The 21149-nt window shown below is 51.3% G+C and overlaps 1 protein-coding gene and 1 long non-coding RNA gene across 3 annotated transcripts in view; one reads left to right on the top strand and one right to left on the bottom strand.

The window, feature by feature from the left end:
• Positions 1-296: 296 nt before the first annotated feature.
• Positions 297-3341, bottom strand: LOC107984918 (uncharacterized). Its single transcript, XR_001737896.2, has 3 exons — positions 3220-3341; positions 2017-2270; positions 297-391 (listed from the first exon to the last, which is right to left on the bottom strand). It is a non-coding gene; the product is annotated as an uncharacterized LOC107984918 (long non-coding RNA).
• Positions 2558-21149, top strand: part of LRRC38 (leucine rich repeat containing 38) — a 39031-nt gene continuing 20439 nt past the window's right edge. For both annotated transcript variants that reach the window (NM_001010847.2, XM_047444690.1), the window contains exon 1: positions 2558-3598. In NM_001010847.2, coding sequence (NP_001010847.1) covers positions 2968-3598 — 631 coding nt within the window. In that variant the 5' untranslated portion in view covers positions 2558-2967. The remainder of the gene's footprint in view (positions 3599-21149) is intronic.

Genomic DNA, 21149 nt, shown 5'->3' with positions numbered 1-21149 from the left:
TGAATGGTGCAGGTGGGGACTCAGAATGCCTGTGTTCTATTTCTAGCGCCTATCACTGACTCATATTGTGACCTTGCTGAGGTCATGGCTCTGTTTTATTTGTTGGGGGAAAAATTTAGAGGTGGCAAAGCTTGTATTTCCCCCAAGGGATGGGAGCTCTGGAATCTGAGATACCTCCCTGCTCCCTACAAAGCCCAACCATGTCTAGTTCTGCTGATATTAATGAAAAGAATGCTTACATTTGGATCCAAGGAACTTTGGGGGACACTCGAGGAAACAAATTGTTCCTGCCATCGCAAGATTTGTGGCCACTTTTATTGGCAATATTTCTCCAAAGACCTTTCAAATCATGTTCCCATACAAATACTTCCCCATGCGGCCCTCACGTTGTCTGTGGAAAGGAAGAAGAAAGGTATTTTTTCATTAGTTTCAGGATGAGGAAATCAAGGCTAGGAGTGGTATTTCTCAATAGGTTTGTTACCAAGAGCCCCTCTTAATATTTTAGTACCATGCATTCCCCTGTTTTGCAAGTCCTTGTCAACTAAATACTTGCATTTATTCAGTAGAAATTCATCTCTGTTTTTCTTAAAGTCACCTATGAATGCCGGTTCTGCACAAAAGGACTAGTGCTACCATTAAGTTCACTGGCAAGAATTGCAGTATTTAATCCGGGAGACCTCCTCAAAGATAAAGGCCTAATTTTCACCAGACTTTTTTAAATTTTGAAAAGACCTCCTCTTCATAGTATCTGGGGACCCAGGCTAAGAAGTCCCCAGAGAGATCAAGTGGCTTGTGAAAGATTCTGTGGCTAGTGGTGGGGCCAGGACCAGACCCAGGGTCTTGATTCATATAGGTCAGTGCTCCAGCCAACCAGACCACTTGGCAGGGAGGGCTTGTGTACACACCCAGACATACAGACACGCGGGCATGCACGTGCAAGATGGCAGCCCAACCAAATGCGGGTGTCATGAAACCATGATGCTAAGGGCTCAAACCAGTAATAGGTTCCCCTCAGTACAGGAGGGAGCAGGCAGAACCAAGCCTGAGATTGGCAGAGTGCAACAGTTCGGTTCAGGCTGCTTTTGCAGAGTTGCAAGGGTGGGAGATGTGTTTATTCTGCCACCTGCCTGCACTTTGTGTGACTCTTCAATAATTTATACATCATTTATGTAGGCAGAAGCATTTTCATCCACTCTGGGAGCATTCAGACCACTCCTCCCGACACCTGCCTCTTCAAGAGCATGAGACTGGGGTGGGGAAGCTGAGCCCTTGAAGTTGGGGATGGCAATGGCAAATTGGGCACCCTGGGAGAGTGGAGACAGAGACGGAGAACTGAGGGAGGTCTGGCTTAGTGGCCTGGAATGTAAGTAGGGGAAAAGCTGCAGGACTCCAGGTGCCTCAAAGCTTCCCCCTGGGTCTCCCCCGCCTCTTCCCCAGGGCTCCTGCAAATATGCTCATCTGTTGAGCCCTTGGCTCCATCCCAGGGGATCAGTTTTTTCATCCCATGGCTCAGAGGCATCAAGTCGGCCTGTACCTTTGGAAGAAGGCCGAGGGCTTAGCTTTATGGCTTCAGAATCCGAGGCTCCACCAATCCCCAGCATGGCCAGGGGCCAGGGAAGGGTCTCTGGGAGCCTGCTGCCCAACAGCTGTTCCCTGGGTTATTTTGGTCTAGTGGGAGTCTGTCAATTCTAGGGCATTTGGACCAAAATAGCCAACAGCGGGACAATCTCTTGGTAGCTCTGTGGGGACCCCTCCCCATATAGAAGTTTCTAGAATGAGGTGGGACAGAAAGAAAGGAGTTTGGCATCGGGGTGGTGAAGAGGGAATTTTCCTGCCAGTGTCAGAGGCTGACATCAGCATTTCCTCACTGTCCTTTCATCTCAGCCTTGGCACGTTCCTGACTGCCTCCCTAGGCTATCCAAGGTGGGGTTTTGAGGGGGAGAGAGGAAAAGATAATTTTTGAACTTTGTTCTTGACTTCTTGGTCCTCCCCCAAAGCTGATGAGATATATATTACCTTTTTCCATTTCACAAATGGAGCTACCAGGTCCACAGAGGCAGAGGTACTGGTCTGAGGCCACACAGCTTGGAAGCCAGGCCTGGTGACTCCAGGCCTCAGAGCCTCAGCAGCTGGACCTCTCAGACCAGCAGCTGATCCTTGCATGGATGCCAGTTCCATCCAGAAGTTCGGGGCCGGCATGGAAAGTGCTGACTGGCCCTGCAGGCCACAGCGGGGGCCCTGGCAGCCACTTGCCTCGCTCACCCTCCAGCCTAAGATGGTTCAAGTGCAGGTGGGGGAGGGAAGAGGGAAGACCAGTCACTCACTCTCTCCCCTTGGAACCCCGCCCAAATTCAGACCAGCAGACCCTGGCGCGGCACCCGAGAACCTGCAGGGATTGCCCCCGGAGCAGAGTCAGAGTGACCCAGGTCCCACTCCCTTTGGCGACATAGGGTGGCGTGCAGGGAGCGTGCTTTGGCACCAGGCGGGCGCGAGGGGGCAGGGCGCACGCCCGGGACACGCCTTAGGGAAACCGCTCCTGGGCTTGGTAGCTGAACTTAGACGTCGAGTGCAGCCCGCCCGGTGCGCGCGGCGTCTTACTGCCAGATCTCGGAAATCAGCTGCCAGGGTGGGGCCGCGTTTTGGCGACGGCCACTCGGCCACCCCTGCCGCTCCCGCCTCTCCCAAGAGATTTTTCTAGCGGGTTAATTTCCTGTCCGGGTAAACCCTTTGGTGAGTCCCTCGCCCCTCCCTCCCCGCCCCTCCCCTCTCCATCCCTGCTGTCCCGGCTCCCCAGTCCGTCCGCGCCGCGCTCCATCGCCCCCGCACGCCCGGGCGCACGCCCTCCCCGCCCGGGCCGCCCTCTGGCTCCCCGCGCCCGGCAGCCAGTGCCTCACCGCGCCGTCCCGCGCCAGGGCTCGCTCCGAGAGCCGCTTCCTTCTCGCCGCGGCCGGCGCGGGCCCCCCGGCCATGCGCCCCCGAGCCCCAGCCTGCGCCGCCGCGGCGCTCGGGCTCTGCAGCCTTCTGCTGCTGCTCGCGCCCGGGCACGCGTGCCCCGCGGGCTGCGCCTGCACCGACCCGCACACCGTGGACTGCCGCGACCGCGGGCTGCCCAGCGTGCCAGACCCTTTCCCCCTGGACGTGCGCAAGCTGCTGGTGGCCGGCAACCGCATCCAGCGGATCCCCGAGGACTTCTTCATCTTCTACGGCGACCTGGTCTACCTGGACTTCAGGAACAACTCGCTGCGCTCGCTGGAGGAGGGCACGTTCAGCGGCTCGGCCAAGCTCGTGTTCCTCGACCTCAGCTACAACAACTTGACCCAGCTGGGCGCCGGCGCCTTCCGCTCGGCCGGGAGGCTGGTGAAGCTTAGCCTGGCTAACAACAACCTGGTGGGCGTGCACGAGGACGCCTTCGAGACCCTGGAGTCGCTGCAGGTGCTGGAGCTCAACGACAACAACCTGCGCAGCCTCAGCGTGGCCGCCCTGGCCGCGCTGCCCGCGCTGCGCTCCCTGCGTCTGGACGGGAACCCCTGGCTGTGCGACTGTGACTTCGCCCACCTCTTCTCCTGGATCCAGGAGAACGCATCCAAACTGCCCAAAGGTGAGCCGAGCCGGCTAGGCTGGGGGAGGGAGGGAGGGGGGCAGGGAGAGGCCACCCCAGACCCCAGTCTGGGTGGGAGGAGCCGTGGGTTGAGTTTGGAAGAGGAGGCTTGGGGGATCCTGAACTTTTCCTGGGTCTCTGCTGGGGAAGTGGGTGGAGAGGGACGCATCTGGAATTCTTTGGAGTTTCTGAACCCTGAGGCTGTACTTCTTCCCCTGTTTCTCCAGTAACTCACTTTACCAAGTTAGGGACCTTCCCCTTCTCGGGATGCCCAGGATCATCTCCCTGGGCTTTGGGTCCTAGGACTGGCGGGTGTGGATTACTTATGCGTCCCTGGTAAGCGGAATGCAGCCTACTCTATGGGAAACGGCCGTATTCTCAGTACCGTGCACGGGGAGTCAGCCAGTTCCAAGGGCTCTCCAGCAGCTTCCCGAGCCTAACCTGGCCTCTCAGCTTCTCAGCTCCAGTTTGCTCTTCTGTCTAATATGGGTGAGGAAGATTTCTGATGTGGAATAATGGCAGCCCATTAAGAGCCAATGATGCAGTAATGATTTGTAGTTCTCTGTGGCTTTTCAGCCAGATGTGAAAAAGCTGAACCAAAATGTAGAGGGCTGGTGCCCCCTTTGCTTTCCTGGTGCACGCTTCCAATGGCGGCGTGGGCATAAAAACTCACTTGGCAGATGGGAACACCAGGGCGGAGGGAGTTAAGGGGCTCCATTAAGGCCCGCAGGAAGGGAGCACGGGTGGAGCTGAGAAGGAGGGGACCCCAGCATCCACAGGGATGAGCACCCAGAGTGAGGAGGCAGGTGGCAGGTGGGTGTCCTTCCCCCAAGTGGATTCCAGCCTCCCACTTGTGACCCTGTGAGCACCAGTGCCCGCAGTGACCTCTCAGAGCTGAACTCTGCCTCCTGCCTTGCTCCCAAGATTTCAGCAGAATTGGGACCACAGCTGCAAGGCGCACATCATCAAAGGTGACATACATGCAGATTTAGCTTCAGAATATTTTTTTTTCCATTTACGGAGAAATCAAGGATGCTGTTCATCTGTGTGCTGAACTCCTGCATTCATATCTTCATTCCCAACTGTCATCAAACACACCCCATGCTTCGGGGTGCTCACTCTTCAGCAAATGCAGGCCCCTGAGCCATCACTTTCAGCCCAGGCTGGCTGAAATTCCTAAAACGATCTGGCCTGCAGGGTGCAGAGTCCCCACCTTTAAACTTTGTCCTCATCCACTTGTCTGGTTTCCCAGACCCTGCCCACCAGTAGACTCGGTCCTGGAGACAGGAGTGACCGGATGAAAAGCTCATGGTGGGATGGGGTACACCTCGGTTCTGCTTGCTTCTGCCTTTCCTTTTCAGTGGGGTTGGCACCATTCACCCCTGTTGTTGGTTGGGTTGGTTTATTGGCTCCAGTTGTCTTCCAGGTGAAGGCAAGGTTTTATGAAGTCAGGAGCTGTGGGTTTGTCTCAGTTCTGCCATGGTGACTGTGACCTTGAACAGGCCACTTGTCCCATTTGGGCCTCAGTTTCCTCATCTCTAGAATTCTTGCGTTGACCTCTGAGATCTCCAAAGAGCCCTGGATTTGGAATCTGAAGACATGGATTTAAGTCCTGGCCTAAAATCTGGGGGACTCTGGGTGGGTCACTCCAGTTTTTTAAGCTTCACCTTTCCCTTGAGTGAAATCAAGACATGGGTAATGCTGCATAGTCCATCCCACCCAGTGGTTGTCGAGATCCAAACAAGGTGATGTGAGTGAAAGTAACGAGCAATGGAAGTGAAATGTTCCTCCTCCTGCTGTCTGTGATGTGGGGAAGAAACTGGACTCAGATAGGAAAGACGGGAGGAAGGATGGACAGGTTCAGAGCAAGGAGCCATGTCCAGAGCCCTGGGAACAGGGTTTGGGGGTATGGCTTTGTCTCAGCCAGTAGGGAGAGGACGGACACAGCTCCAGGGCACCTCACAGGGTGCAGTGCCATGAGCAGCTCTGGTCTCACTGCCACTGTCCATGCTGTGTGGCCCGAGAGTATCTCCTAAACTGTAAGCCACATGCAGGGTGGGTGGTGGAGGTTCCAGCAGTTACCTTGAAGTGAGACCCGCATTCAGGTTTGGACTCAGGTTTATAATCTTAGGCAAGTCCCTGACCTCTCCAAGCCTCAGTTTCTTTGCATCTGGATTCAGAATGTGGTAATGGTGTCCTCTGCCGTGCTTGCTGTGAGATTTAAATGAGATTATCTCTGTAAAGAACACCGTCTTGCTTGGCGTGTGGTAGGTGCTCAACAGGTGTTCCCCGCCCCCTCCCTCCTCCTCCTGCATTTGTGCTTTTTCTACTTTTCACAGAGACAGCTCAGAGCCCAGACTGGCACCAAGCTGCTTGCCTTCAAATCCTGCCTCTACTTCTTACTGATTGTGTGATCTTTTTGTACCCGTTTCCTCATCTGTAAAATGGGGCTGATACAGTATCCACCTTCTAGGCTTGTTAGGAGGATTAAAAGGGCATTATTTATAAAGGACCGAGAACAGTGCCTGGCTCACAGTATATACTATGTAAGTGTTTTAATTGGCGCTGTTGTTATTATCCTGTTTTGACTAGAGAAGCGATGTAACTTGCCTTAGATCACACAGAGAGTTAAACCCAGAGCTGGGGGTGCACCAGGATCTCCTAGCTCCCAGTACCTCCTCCGTGAGGACCACCTACTTCCTGCCGGAGAAAACCAGGCTCCATGAGGGTACAAGGTCCAGGGCTTTCTAGGCAGGCCTTCTGCCTCTTCCGGGGGAGGAAATTGAAGGAAGGAGCAAAGAGGATCCTACCCTTGCTTTCCCTTGCCTCCCTGCCCCCTTGTCCCCCAGAGAAGCAAGACAGAGCCCAGCGAAGTGGGGAGGAGATAAAGACACAAAAGTGGGGAGCACCGTGGTGTTTCTCAAAGCGTCACCTGAGAACCACCTGCATGAGAATCGCCAGGGGAGCTTGTGTGAAGTGCAGATTCACAGGACCCCAGATCTACGACTGAATGAGGGCCTGGGGGTAGGGGGCTGAGGCCTGGGGATCTGCATTTTAGCAAGCTCCACACCTCCAGGGGATTCCTGTGCATGGGGCTTTTCGCTGGCTCTGTGGTGCAGTAACTCACTCATGGTGGGACTGTGTATAAGTTGCCTGTCCTCTGTGCCTTCAATTTTTCTCTTATAAACAAAGAGTGTAGGTAGGAGGACCGTAAGTCTCCTTCTAAGTCTAAAGTTCTACAGTTTTAGGGAAGGGGACATTGACTTGGTTTTAAAAGTTGGGAAGTCAAGGCCTGGGGAGGCACGTGACCTCCAAAGACCCCTCTGCTGGAATTCAGGGGGCTGTAGTCTCTGGGCATTAGGGAGGGCAGAGCTCTTGGGTACACTGGGGCTCTGGGCTCATGGGCCTGAGATGCTGTCACAGTGTGGAAGGACTTTACACTTGCTGTCCCTAGCCCTGGTCCTGGGCCATAGGGAGAATATGCCGCTGGGTTTGAGAAACCGAGGCCAGTGGGCATGAGGCTTGGTAGGGGTCACTGGACTCTGGGCTTGGCTTTGGAGGGGCACAGAGCATCTGACACAGCCCAGAACATGCCTGGGAGTGTATCACAGGAGGGGCACTTGCAGCTGTCAAGGTGGGAGGCTGCATTCACCCAGGCACCCTCTTGCACCTCCCTTTCTAGCTGCAGCCACGTGTGGCCTGAAGGTCACAGCTTACAGCACTAGGAAAGAGATTCGAGCTGATTCTCTCGCTCTACAACCTTGACGCATGGAGGTGTAGGGAGGGCAAGGCTGGGAGGAAGGATGGACTGGGGCGGAATTAAACAGAACCACATGTCATGCCTTGGGTCTGTGAACCCTGTCTCCTGGGTGGAGACAGCTTCCCAGAAAAGATCCACTAAAGAGCGTCTGGAGCATCTGAGCATTCGGGGGCTTGGGTACCCCATGGGGCAGACCCTGAAGATAACATCCTGTCTAGGAAGGGCATCATGGCAGGCAGGTCATGTCGTTTAACCCCATCAGATTACCAGATCTGACCTGGGGCTTGCTGGGGGAGCCTCTCCCCATTTCCCCGAAGCTCCACTTCCGTTTTCTGATGTCAGACACTGTGAGGGCCTGGTTTGGTCAGAGGAATGAGGAGTTCTTGTTATACTGACAACATAAATGGTATTTCAGCCTAAGGGACAAACCCGGCGCTTGCCTGAAGGTCACACTGGTCCTTTCTCCCAGGTGACTCTATTTCTTTTTCTTCTTTGAGAAAATAAAAGCAGCTTTATGTTCCTGATGATAAAAATACAGGCTCCTGTTATTAGACTGGGGAAATGCCGAAAGTATCATGAAGAAAATAAAAGGTACCCAGAATCCCATTGCTATGAAAGTTTTGCTATATTTTATTCTAGTTTTATTCTTACATATATGTAAACAGATTGATATTATACTGTACATTCGCAAAATGATTTTTTTCTGTTACTGAATTGGGAGCATTTCCTGTCATTACAGTTGTCGGAGGATTTAACTTGAAATGGCCTTGAGAATAGGTCATTTTATTGATTTATTAATTGGACCCATCCCCTGTTGTTAGAAGTGTGGGTTGTTTCCTTTTATTTTTTGTATGTAGGCAGTGCTGAGCCGAATATCCTTACACATGGAAAGTCTGTGGAAACCTCTGGTTATTTTATTTGGGGTGGAAACACAGGGTGAAAGTCTATGCTTTTTTTTGTTGTTTTGAGATGGGGTCTTGCTCTGCCACCCAGGCTGGAGTGCAGTGGCATGATCTCAGCTCACTGCAACCTCCGCCTCCCAGGTTCAAGCTCTTCTACTGCCTCAGCCTCCCCAGTAGCTGGGATTACAGGCACCTGCCACCATGCCAGGCTAATTTTTGCATTTTTAGTAGAGACGGGGTTTTACCATATTGGCAAAGCTGATCTCGAACTCCTGACTTCAGGTGATCTACCTGCCTTGGCCTCCCAAAGTGTGCTGGTATTACAGGCGTGAGCCACTGAGCCCAGACAAGTCTATGCTTTTTTTTTAAACCCCTGAATGCATTAATGGTGCCAGCTGCCTGGCACCATTAGCAGAGAGTACAGGTGTAGCCACACCTTTCCCATTGTTTTTGTTTGTTTGTTTGTTTTGAGATGGAGTTTTGGTCTGTCACCCAGGCTGGAGTGCAGTGGTGTGATCTCGACTCACTGCAACCTCCACCTCCCAGGTTCAAGTGATTCTCCTGCCTCAGCCTCCCAAGTAGCTGGGATTATAGGCGCCTGCCACCACACCCAGCTAATTTTTGTATTTTTAGTAGAGATGGGGTTTCACCATGTTGGCCAGGCTTGTCTCAAACTCCTGACCTCAGGTGATCCACTCACCTCGGCCTGGCAAAGTGCTGGGATTACAGGCGTGAGCCACTGCGCCTGGCCCCCAGTGTTTTTTATTCTCATTTTTTAAAAATGTTTTTCAATTTGATGGGCAAGACAACAACATCTCCTTATTGCTTTAATTTGCATTATTTGCTCACTGGTCGAGTGAACATTTTGTGTGTGTTTATACCTGAGAGAGCTGTGTTCCTGGGCAGAGGCTTACTGAAGTCTCGGTTTTCATGCAAGTGACCTCTGTCCTGCTGTTGATGAGTCGGTGCATGTCCTGTGTGCCACAGTCCACTGCACCTTTAACTTGTCCCTTAGAGTTGAGTCACTGGGGTGTCACCTTTCTCACCATTACCAGTGTCCAGGAACCAGGTGCCAGCTCTTGTGGGCACTGTGGTCTGGCCTTCTGGTGCCAAGCCAACTGCAAGCTTGACCTAAGGTAACCTCACCGAGGGGTCTGCCTTGGTTGCTGCCTGGAGAGCCCCCACAGGGTCATCCTACTCTGGCCCCAAAAACCAGATCTTTCTAAAAATGTTCAACTCATCCAGTTACTCTACCAGTGAACTCAAAGGGAACGCTTTTTGCTGAACAACATAAGACAGTGGACAGATAGCCCCAGGGGAACCCAGGAGGGGATTTGGTTTGGAGAGGACAGTATCGCCAGTAGGTACATCAGGCAAGTTCCAGCCGGCTCAGTTACCCAAAGGGTTAAGCCCTTTAAGCCAAGTGGCTGCACAGTTCCTGCTGTCCTAGCATCTTGTGGTCTGGAACATGGTTTGCAGGGATGAGGTGCTTGGCCGGCCTTATCAGCCTTCGGGCTGGTGCGGGCTGTAAAAATGCATCAGGGCCAGGCGTGGTGGCTCAGGCCTGTAATCCCAGCACTTTGGGAGGCCAAGGCGGGCGAATCACCTGAAGTCAGGAGTTCAGGACCAGCCTGGCCAAGATGGTGAAACCCCATCTCTACTAAAAATACTAAAAACTAGCTGGGCACGGTGGCGTGCACCTGTAATCCCAGCTACTTGGGAGGCTGAGGCAGGAGAATCGCTTGAACCTGGGAGGTGGAGGTTGCAGTGAGCCGAGATCATGCCACTGCACTCCAGCCTGGGCGACTGAGCGAGACTCTGTCTCAAAAAAAAGAAAAAAGAAAATAGAAAAAGAAATGCATCAGGACCTCCATGTGCTGGGAGTTGTGGTGAGTCCCTGGGTCAGGAGCATTGGTGGTTCTGAGTCAACTCATATCCTGAGCACGGCCACAGTAAGATCCCAGCCGAGTGCATCCCTTTCGGTCCCGGGAAACATCATGGGCTGTGATGCCGCAGGTCCATGCCTGTGCTGTTACCTGTCCTGGGGTTCTTTCTTCCTCCCCATTCCCTGCCTTGACTTCTTTACCCTTCTGGTTCCCACTTAACCTTCCATGCTCCACCTCTTCCCTGGGCTCCTGAGGCTGGGTTGGGAGCCCATCCTGTGCGATCTCGTGGGATGCTGTGCTTATCCTGTGACCACTGCCTGACGTTACAGGTCACGTCTGACCCTTTTTGAGGAGGCAACATGTGTCTTGTTCTTCCTTGAATCCCCAGAGGCTCGTACAACACAGGGCATATTTGGAAACCTTCCAGTGGCTCCCATTGCATTTAGAATCAACCGAGCTCCCTCCCACAGCCCAGACGGGCCCCTCCTTATCACTTCTCCTCCCTCCCTGCCCCTTCCCCACCCAGGCCACACCAGCCTTGTTCTGTCCCCGGAACACGCCCAAGTGCCAGTATCCAGCCGGAGCCCCTGAACTTGCTGCTGTCTGCCTGGAAGGACACCTCCCCCGACCCCGATCTTCCTCATCACCAGGTCTTCCATCAAGCATCACCTCCTCCGAGAGGCCTTCCCTGACCATCCCACCCCTACCCCATCACTCTTGGTCACATCTTCTTGTTGTAGTTACGTCGTAACATTCACTGAGGTTGACATTATCAAATTCATACATTTTGTCCCACTAGAAATGCAGGCTCCAAGAGGCCAGCACGCCTGCTGCTGTCAGCCGCACCCTGCGTAGGAGACTAGGAGGGTCTCAGTGAGGCTGTGGGAGTGAGTGAGCCAAGGAATGCACACTCCTAGGGGTCATCCAGGGACGGGCCCAAATCACTGGCCTTTGTTTTTGTTTTCAGCAAATACCCCTCGGTGGCTTTGGGTCAGCAAAGCATATCCGGATTGCCTTCAGCCAAGGCAGGGCCCAGAATGCATGTTCTCAGGGTTTCTTTCCTAGGTTGGGTTGTTGTGATCTTGGTCAAATCCCCGGTAGCCCCCTGAGCCGCAGCTCCTGCTATGCAGGAGGGAGGGAGCGGCTACTCTGCCCCCAGCTGCGGGAGTGGTGCTGGAAGAGGAGAGGAGCCCTGGAGAGGCTGCTGGAATGTTCTTCCCTCCTCTGCTAAGCACAGCGGGAGTGGCTGATGGACAGAGTTCAGGATGCCGAGGCCACAGGTCTCAGTTTAACTCCAGCTGAATCGGACAGCTTTGCTTATCAATTCACAGAAACAAACCAATGTCATCTGGAGTAAGCAAATAGGAGGGTTACTCTTAAGGATGCAGGTGTGTCCAGGAACACTTGGTCCTGAACAGTCAAGCCCCAGGAAGTCGTGGGAGCAGAACTGGGGCACAGGAAACAGCACCCCTTTTCCTCGCTCATATGCTTGTCTCCGCTTCTCATACTGTTTGTTTTTTCTTTCTTTGTTTCTCTTTTCTTTCTCTTTTTCTTTTTTCTTTTCTTTTCTTTCTTTCTTCTTTCTCTTTTCTTCTTTTCTCTTTCTTTCTCTCTGTCTCTTCTTTCTTTCCCTCTCCCCTTCCCTCCCTTCCCCTCCCCTCCCCTCCCCTCCCTTCCCCTCCCCTCCCCCCTTCAACACAGTCTCACTCTGTCACCGAGGCTGGAGTGCAGTGGCGCAATCTCGGCTCACTGTAACCTCTGCCTCTCGGGTTCAAGCTATTCTCATGTCTCAGCCTCCTGAGTAGCTGGGATTACAGGTGTGTACACTACCACACCCAGCTATTTTTTGTATTTTTAGTAGAGACGGGGTTTTGCCACATTGGCCAGGCTGGTCTCGAACTCCTGGCCTCAAGTAAACCACCCACCTTAGCCTCCCAAAGTGCCGGGATTACAGGCGTGAGCCACTGTGCCCAGCCTCATGCTGATTTCTTATTTTTCTCTCTGTGTATTGATGGGCTTTCTGTTTTCCTATCTGTGTGGCAGAAAATATGTACCGTGGTTACCATGGGTCTGGGGCAGGGCTGGGCAGGCCACCCCCGGCATCCATGACTGTCTGTGCTTCCAATGAGCTGTCCGATGGCAGATAAGTCCCCTGATGTTCCTGGTCCTCAGTGTCCCCGGTCAAATGTAGGTGATAGCATCTCTCCTTTGACCTCAAGTGATAGTCATATAAAGAAGCTTTTGAGCAATTTCCTCCATCACCACGTATAGAAGCTGTTATTATTTTGTCTTCGTTTAAAGCACAGAAATGTGGCCAAACAGACCAGATACGTATACAGATATATGAAACCCAATGAACTAAGGAATTGCCTGTCAAATCCCAAACGTGTGACAACCCACGCAGACAGCAGTATCTGAGACAGCGCATCCTCCCAGCGGCTCTTGGCCGGCTCTTGCACGTCGGAGGCTGCCAATTAAGAGTCCTCTGGTGTCCCATCTTCTCCATCCTCCCAGCTGGATACGTGGTAAATGTCAAGGTCAGGGAGTCAGGACCTTGAGGGAGCTATGGGCCATTGAAGATGAAGGGGCAGCTTCTCAAAGGCCAACAGAAACCGAACAGCCAAGGATCGTGGTCCCAATCCGGGCTCCAACATTAGCTCCCAGTGGGTCCTCCGAGTCACGTGCTTTTCTCGGCTTCAGCCTTCTCATCTCTCAGAGAGTGGATTTTCCCAGGTAAGGAGTGCAGGAATGAGACCCCAGATGCCCCCAGGGTCAGCTGGGTGAGGTTAGCAGAAGCAGCCAGTTGGAGTCAGCAGAGAATATAGGTATATAAACAATTTAGAATGGGCTGGGCGTGGTGGCTCACGCCTGTAATCCCAGCACTTTGGGAGGCTGAGGCGGGCAGATCACCTGAGGTCAGCAGATCGAGACCAGCCTGGCTAACATGGTGAAACCCCGTCTCTACTAAAAATCCAAAAATTAGCCAGGCATGGTGGAGCATGCCTGTAGTCCCAGCTACTCGGGAGGCTGAGGCAGGAGAATGGCATGAACCCAGGAGGCGGAGCTTGCAGTGAGCCGAGATCGTGCCACACTGCACTCCAGCCTGGGTGACAGAGTGAGACTGTCTCAAAATAAATAAATAAATAAAAACAAAATAAATAAATAAACAATTTAGAGTGCTGGCTGAACTCCAAAACATGTTCCTCCCACTGGCCACCAGTGGTAGATCCCTGCTCTAGGTGACCAAGAGGGCCCCTTTTCATTCTGATGTAAGCTGATGCTGGGACCTCTTGTGTCAGCCTCCTCCAGGGCAGATGAAAGAGTCTGAGGCTCCCAGCAAAGGTCCCCTGGGTGGGTCCCTGTGGCAAATGTCCCACCACCCCAGGAGCTCCCTTTCAAATCAGGAGGTGCAAGAGTATGTTCCTGTCTTCATTTGAAAAGAATACTTCCCTCCTTGAGTTATTGGAAAGAATAGCATTGCTTTTTCGTAAGACCCCAATGAGATGATGTGTGCTTTTAGATCATCTACATCAGAAATGATCATCTACATCAGAAGTGAAAGTTGAAGGTGGTCACCTGGAGTGGGGCAAGGAGCTTAGAGCCGAAGGTCAGGACCTCCTTCACTTGACAGGTCACCTAACTTCCCTGGGGTTTTGTTCCCTTGCCCGTCATCCTGAGGTTTGTCGAGAGGATCGAGGAAACACAGATGTGAAAGATCTTTAGAAGAGAATGGAGGAATGTTTGCAAATGAGGAGGGCTTGTGTTAGCCCAGTAAAATGACAGTGGTTTATAGACCATTCCTCATCTCCCCTTCCAAGTCACATGGCAAGCCACAGAATAGCAACAGGGCAGCCAGACAAGGAGAGAGGGTGACGGTCCAGGCCACAAGAACTGCTTGCTGATGGGAAACCCCGGCTCCAGAGTTCATTTGTGTGTGCAGGAGTCAGAGGGAGGAGGTGGTGAGCGGGTGAGGAACCCTCCCAGCCAGTGCCTGGGAGCAGCAAGGCTGGGGAAGCAAGTGGGGGCAGGTATGGGAGCCCCGAGGTCAGGGGAAAGAAGCAAGTTCCCTGGAAAAGTGACCAGAAGGATAGACAGCCTAGTGTCAATAGTGATTTTGTCTGGGTGAGAAGGTGGCTTTATTTTATTTTATTTTATTAAATAATCAATAGACTTTGGCCGGGTGCGGTGGCTCACACTTGTAATCCCAGCCCTTTGGGAGGCCGAGGCGGGCAGATTACCTGAGGTCAGGAGATTGAGACCAGCCTGGCTAACATGGTGAAACCCCGTCTCTACTAAAAATACAAAAAAAAAAAAAAAAAATTGGCTGGGCGTGGCAGCGTGCCCCTGTAGTCCCCACTGCTGGGGAGGCTGAGGCAGCAGAATGGCATGAACCCAGGAGGTGGGGCTTGCAGTGAGCCAAGATCATGCCACTGCATTCCAGCCTGGGTGACAGAGCAAGACTCCATCCCCCACCAAAAAAAAAAATTAGCCAGGTGTGGCGGCAGGTGCCTGTAGTCCCAGCTACTCGGGAGGCTGAGGCAGGAGAATGGTGTGAACCCAGGAATGGTGCAGATCGTGCCACTGCACTCCAGCCTGGGCAACACAGCGAGACTCTATCTCAAAAAACAAACAAACAAACAAACAAAAACAAAAATGAGCCGGGCATGGTGGCGCGCACCTGTAATCCCAGCTGCTAGGGAGGCTGAGGCAGGAGAATTGCTTGAACCTGGGAGTTGGAAGTTGCAGTGAGCCAAGATCGTGCCACTGCACTCCAGCCTGGGCAACAGAGTGAGACTCTATCTCAAACAAACAAACAAAAAACAAAAAACTCCACAAAAATTAGTCGGGCATGGTGGCGTGCACCTGTAATCCCAGCTGCTAGGGAGGCTGAGGCAGGAGAATTGCTTGAACCCAGGAGTTGGAAGTTGGAGTGAGCTGAGATCACTCTACTGCACCCCAGCCTGGGCAACAGAGTGAGATTCCGTCTCAAAATAAATAAATAAATAAAATAATTAATAGACTTTGTTAAGAGCAATTTGAGGTTTATGGAAAATTAAGCAGACAGTAAAGATTTCCCTTTACCCCTTACCCTGCACAGTTTCCCCTCTTTTAACATCTTGCATTAGTATGTCACATCTGTGCCATAAATACATATGTACTATATATAGTATATATAGTGTATTTATATGCTGTATATATTCATATATATTAGCATGCCACATACTATTTAGTATATACTAATATATATGCGTATATATATCTATATTAGTATGCCACATCAGTACCATATATTGCATAAACCAATATGATGAACCAGTGTCACTGTGATTATTCACTAAAGCCCACAGCAAGTTTACATGAGGGTTCATTCTGTGTTGCATGTTCCATGGGTTTTGACAAAGGGATTACGTCATGTAATCCTTCACGATCATAGAATCACGCAGAATAGTTTTACTGACCCTCAAAATCTTTGTGCCCCGCTCATTCATTCCTCTCCCCTCCCTCCTCAACCCCTCATGACCACTGATCTTTTCGCTGCCTCTAGCTTTGCCTTTTCCAGAACGTCGTATCATTTAAAATTTCTCTTTCGTATGCTTTCTGGCGTTCACTTTATAACCTTTTATTTTAGTATAACACTGTAAACCAAAAGGTATCTGAGACAGGTCTCAATCAGTTTAGAAAGTTTATTTTAGCAAGGTTCAGAATGCGTGTATGACATAGCCTCAGGAGGTCCTGAAGACATGGGCCTAAGGTGGTCGGGGCACAGCTTGGTTTTATACATTTTAGGAAGACATGAGACATCAGTCAATATATGTTAGATGTACCTTGGTTCGGTCCGGAAAGGTGGGACAACTTGAAGTGGGGAGGGGGCCTCCAGGTCATAGGTAAATAAGAGACAGTTTCATTCTTTTAAGTTTCTGATTAGCCTGTTGCTGAATGCACCATTTACAGGAATAGTCACTTATGCCACAGTGTGGCTTAGTGAAACAGTAGGGCAAAGGAAGCATTCAGATGGGCATTCATCTCATATGAGCAGAGAGATGACTTTGAGTTCTTCCTGCGCTTTGTCCACAGAGAATTTCCTTGTGGGCAAATTGTGAGGGAGGTATGTAGCTTTTTTCTTTTCTTTTTTAAATCTTGCAGCTTTTTTTTTTTTTTTGAGACAGAGTCTCACTCTGTCGCCCGGGCTGGAGTGCAGTGGCATGATCTCGGCTCACTGCAATCTCTGCCTCCCGGGTTCAAGTGATTCTCCTGCCTCAGCCTCCCAAGTAGCTGGGATTATAGGCGCGCACATGCTACCCAGCCCGGCTAATTTTTGTAGTTTTAGTAGAGACGGGGTTTCTCCATGCTGGCCAGGCTGATCTCCAACTCCTGCCCTCAGGTGATCTGCCTGCCTCGGCCTCCCAAAGTGCTGGGATTACAGGCATGAGAGACCAAGCCCAGCCAATCTTTGTAGCTATCTTATTTAGGAATAGAATGGGAGGCAGGTTCGCCCTGTACAGTTCCCAGCTTGACTTTTCCCTTTGGCTTAGTGATTTGGGTGAGATTTATTTTCCTTTCACAATACACATACGGAAAGCGTGCATACCTACTGCGAGCAACCTCCCGTGGGTCGCACTGTGGTCTGGAAGCCTGCACACAGCTCCAGTCCTGCTGCCTCTCTGCCTCATGTAACTAACTGCCTGCTCCCCTTATCTTTTCAGGCTGGGGCCGTGAGACCACCCCTCCCACTGGCCTGAGCCCTGGGGTACCGCACTATCCCTGTTGACTTCCTAAATCCAGTACACACTTTTGTAACCAGCCCCTTTGTTAGACTCACTTCAAATAACCCTGTTTGAGTGGGCCATGCTGGGATCCTGACAAAGGAAGCAAATTCCTGCAAGGAATTGAGCAAGGAGCAATGGAAAAGGATGCTATGGGTTGAATTGTGTCTCCCTGTTACCCCCAAGTTCACACATGGAAGTCTTAACTCTAAATACTTCAGAATGTGACCTTGTTTAGAAATAGGATCATCTGGCCAGGTGCGGTGGCTCATGCCTGTAATCCCAACACTTTGGGAGGCCGGGGCGGGTGGATCACTTGAGGTCAGGTGTTTGAGTCCAGCCTGGCCAACATGGTGAAACCCCGTCTCTACTAAAAGTACAAAAATTAGCTGGGTTTGGTGGCGGGCACCTGTAATCCCAGCTACTCGGGAGATGGAGGCAGGAGAATTGCTTGAACCTGGGAGGCGGAAGTTGCATAGTGAGCCGAGATCATGCCACTGTACTCCAGCCTGGGTGATAGAGTAAGACTCTGTCTCAAAAAAACAAACAAAAAAAATGCAGTGGGATCATCATTGTAGATGTTAGCCTGAACTCAGTATGACTGGTGTCCTTATAAAAAGGGGGAATTTGGACAGACACGCACACCGGGAGAAGGCCACGTGAAGATGAAGGCAGAGGTAAAGGTGCTGTACCTACAAACTAAGGAAAGCCAGAGATTCCCAGCAAACCACCGGAGCCAGTGGGGAGGCCTGGAACACATTCTTCCTACAGCCCCTGGAGAGAACCAGCGCTGCCGATGCCTTGATCTCAGATGTTCAGCCTGCAGAATTCTGAGACAAGCATTTCCGTTGTATAAGCCACCCAGTTGGTGGTATTGTGTTGCAGCCACCCCAGGAAACACCTGCAGGGGATAATGCCAACAGCTCACTTGCCAGAGGCAGGGAGTGGGTTACAGCCTCTAGAATGGGTCCAGCCCTTAGGTTTTTTTGTTTATTTGGTTTTTATTTTGTTTTGTTTTTTGAGACAGAGTCTCGCTCTGTCACTCAGGCTGGAGTGCAGTGGCGCAATTTTGGCTTACTGCAACCTCCGCCTCCCAGGTTCAAGCGATTCTCCTGCCTCAGCCTCCTGAGTAGCTGGGACTACAGGCATGCACCACCACGCCTGGGTAATTTTTGTATTTTTAGTAGAGATGTGGTTTCACCATGTTGCTCAGGCTGGTCTTGAACTCCTGACCTTGTGATTCCCCCTGCCTCAGCCTCCCAAAGTGCTGAGATTACAAGTGTGAGCCACTGTGCCTGGCCTCTCAGCCTTCAGATTTTATAATATCCAAATACATTGCTTTCCTTGGTTTGCGTGTGGGGAAATAAGCGCTAAAACACAAACTGGGCTCTTTTTTTTTTTGTTTTGTTTTGTTTTGTTTTTTGGTTGGGGGTCGTCTCTGCTTCCTGCCCCAGAGCAGGCTCCTCTCCCCTGACTTCATTTTGTCAATTATCTGCTCGATTCCAGGCGCTGAGCTGAAAACGCTTGGGCTGCGCGTCCTGATAGAAATAGAATGCAAGCTGCAGAGATAATTTCAGATGTTCCAGCAGCCATATTTAAAACAGAAAAATGAGCAGATGAGATGAACTTGGATATTTTTTTAATCCAGCATATCCAAAATGTCGTTTCTTTTTTTTTTTTTTTTTTTTGTGATGGAGTTTTTCACTCTTGTTGCCCAGGCTGAAGTGCAATGGTGCAATCTCGGCTCACGGCAACCTCGGCCTCCAGGGTTCAAGCGATTCTCCTGCCTCATCTCCTGAGTAGCTGGGATTGCAGGCGTACACAACTACACCCAGCTAATTTTGTAGTTTTGGTAGAGACGGGGTTTCTCCATGTTGGTCAGGCTGGTCTCAGGTGATCTGCCCTCCTCGGCCTCCCAAAGTGCTAGGATTATAGGCATGAGCCACCGTGCTTGGCCCAAAATGTCATTTCAGCGTGTAATCAACGGAAAAATTAATCATGAGCTATTTTTCCTTTTTTTTTGCATATGAAGTTTTCAGAATCGCTCCAGTTTATATGGAGTGATTCCCCCAGAGAGGAAGCCAAGGTGCCAACAGGTTAATGTAAGTTGGTCACCAGCCAAGAAGTGGCAGAGGTGAGGTGTGACTCCAGGATCTTTGTTGCTGAACATTTTGTGGCCCCTCAAATCTCACATCAGAAACTAGAGTCTCTCAGCCACAAGCTCCCACGCTTGCTTCAGGCTGAGAACCCAAAAGTAGTGTCTTCCTGAGTCAGAACCTTGACTCGGAGGGAGGTAAATCCAAGGTGACCTGACCATATTAGTGGAAACCAGGGTGCATTAAACACTTGTTAAAAACAAATTTGACTCCTACCTTCTTCTGCTATGAGAGCTTTGTCTGGAGCAGCGGCCCCTCCCTGCTTGTCAGGTATCAAGTCATGTTCCACCTCGGCTCAGAGCTCTCCAGGGGCTCCCGTATCATGAAGAGCAGAAGTAAAAGTCCTTCCAGAGGCTCACAAGGCCTCCTGTGATCTGTCCTCCTCCTAGTTCCTTTCTGACCGAATTTCTTGCTCTTCTCCCTTCATTCACGCTGGCCTGGGCACCCCAGATTCCTTGTCATTCCTTGAGTTCATCAGGTACCTTCTTACCTCAGGGCCTTTGCACCTGCTACTTCCTCTGCCAGGATGACCTCCCTCTGGGTCTCAGCATGACTTGGCCCCTCCCTCCCGTCAGACCCTTTCTCAAATGCCACCTTCTCCCTGGGCCGCAGCCCCATTGAACCCTGCACCCCACCACCTCTGGCTCTCCTTCCCTGTCCCCCTGCTCCTCTTCGTCCTCTTGTACCAGTCCCTATGGGTCATGTTATACATTTTACTCATTTACTCATTGTCTGTTTCACTCAGTTGTAGCCACAAGAGCAGGGCCTCGTCTGTTCTGTTCAGTGTTTTAGCCACAGTGCTAGGACTGTGCTCGCAGGTAATAGGTGCTCCATACGTATGTGTTGAAGGGATGAATGACTCGGTGGGTGGATGCTGAGCCAAGGCAAAGGGAGGAAAAATGGAGAGGAAGAGGCCTCCAGAACTGTCCCCTTGCTGAGAGAAGCCAGTATGGTAAACTGGTTCTTGTTGGAGTGTTAGCAACTTGAGGCTTAACCAGAGATAAATGCAGTAAAGACAGAAGGGGGCTGAGCAAGGTGGCTCAGCCTGTAATCCCAGCACTTGGGAGGCTGAGGCGGGAAGATTGCTTGAGCCCAGGAGTTTGAGACCAGCCTGGGAAACATAGTGAAACCCTGTCTCTACAAAAAAAATAAAAAATAAATAGCTAGGTTTGGTGGCACACACCTGTAGTCCCAGCTACTTGGGACGCTGAGGCAAGAGGATCACTTGAGGCCAGGATTGTTTGAAGTTACAGTGAGCTAGGATCTTGCTGCTGCACCCCAGCCTGGGTGACAGAACGAGACACTCTATCTCTCTCTCTCCGTAATATATATATATATTTGATCAGCGCTGCTGATCATTGAGGCATGAATTTGTATAGAATCTCAGACATGGTGATGCTTGGATGGGGGTGTTCAGAGAGTAGGAAGGTTGAGGCCCCCAGACCCCTTCTAATCACAATTTGTAAGCCGTTACCTGGGTTTCCTGTTCATTAGAAAATGTCAGACACTCTTTGTATTCGGAGAGTAAGACTGTGCTGATATAGGAAAATTGATGTTCAACTCTCAAAAGTAGAGACTTGGAAGAACATAGTGCCTGTCTGCAGGCACCTGAGGGGCTGTCACTGAACACAGGGGACTTGTTCTGACCTCAGAAGATGGGCCCATGATTGAGAATTACAAGGAAACGGAATTCGATGTACCATAATGAGAACTGTCTAACCGCATTAGGGCTCTGAAAATGAGCTGCCTTTGGGAGGTAATGAGGTTGCCATCACCAGGGGCATTCAAGCAGAGTCCAAATGACCACTTTTTAGTGGTGCTGCAAGGAGCATCAGGTGTTGGGTGGGATTTCTGCCCAGGGTGCTTGAGTCCTGTGATTCTTTCTGGCGTTCCTATCCTGGTTCTGCTGGCCGAAGGAGTAGGTCTTGAAGGAGGGTCCAGGGTGCTTAAAAACCAGTGACTGCACCTGCTTTGATACCCAGAGCAGTCACTCCTCTTCCCTCCCTCCCCCTCCCCACCATGTTCCTTTCTGAACCTAAATAGACGGAGCCCTTAAGCCTGCAGCAGAGGACATGCAAAGCTC

Source organism: Homo sapiens, chromosome 1 (genome assembly GCF_000001405.40).
Source record: "Homo sapiens chromosome 1, GRCh38.p14 Primary Assembly".
Lineage (NCBI taxonomy): Eukaryota > Metazoa > Chordata > Mammalia > Primates > Hominidae > Homo > Homo sapiens.
Note: the sequence above shows the minus strand (reverse complement) of the source record. Positions and strands in the feature narration are given on the sequence as shown.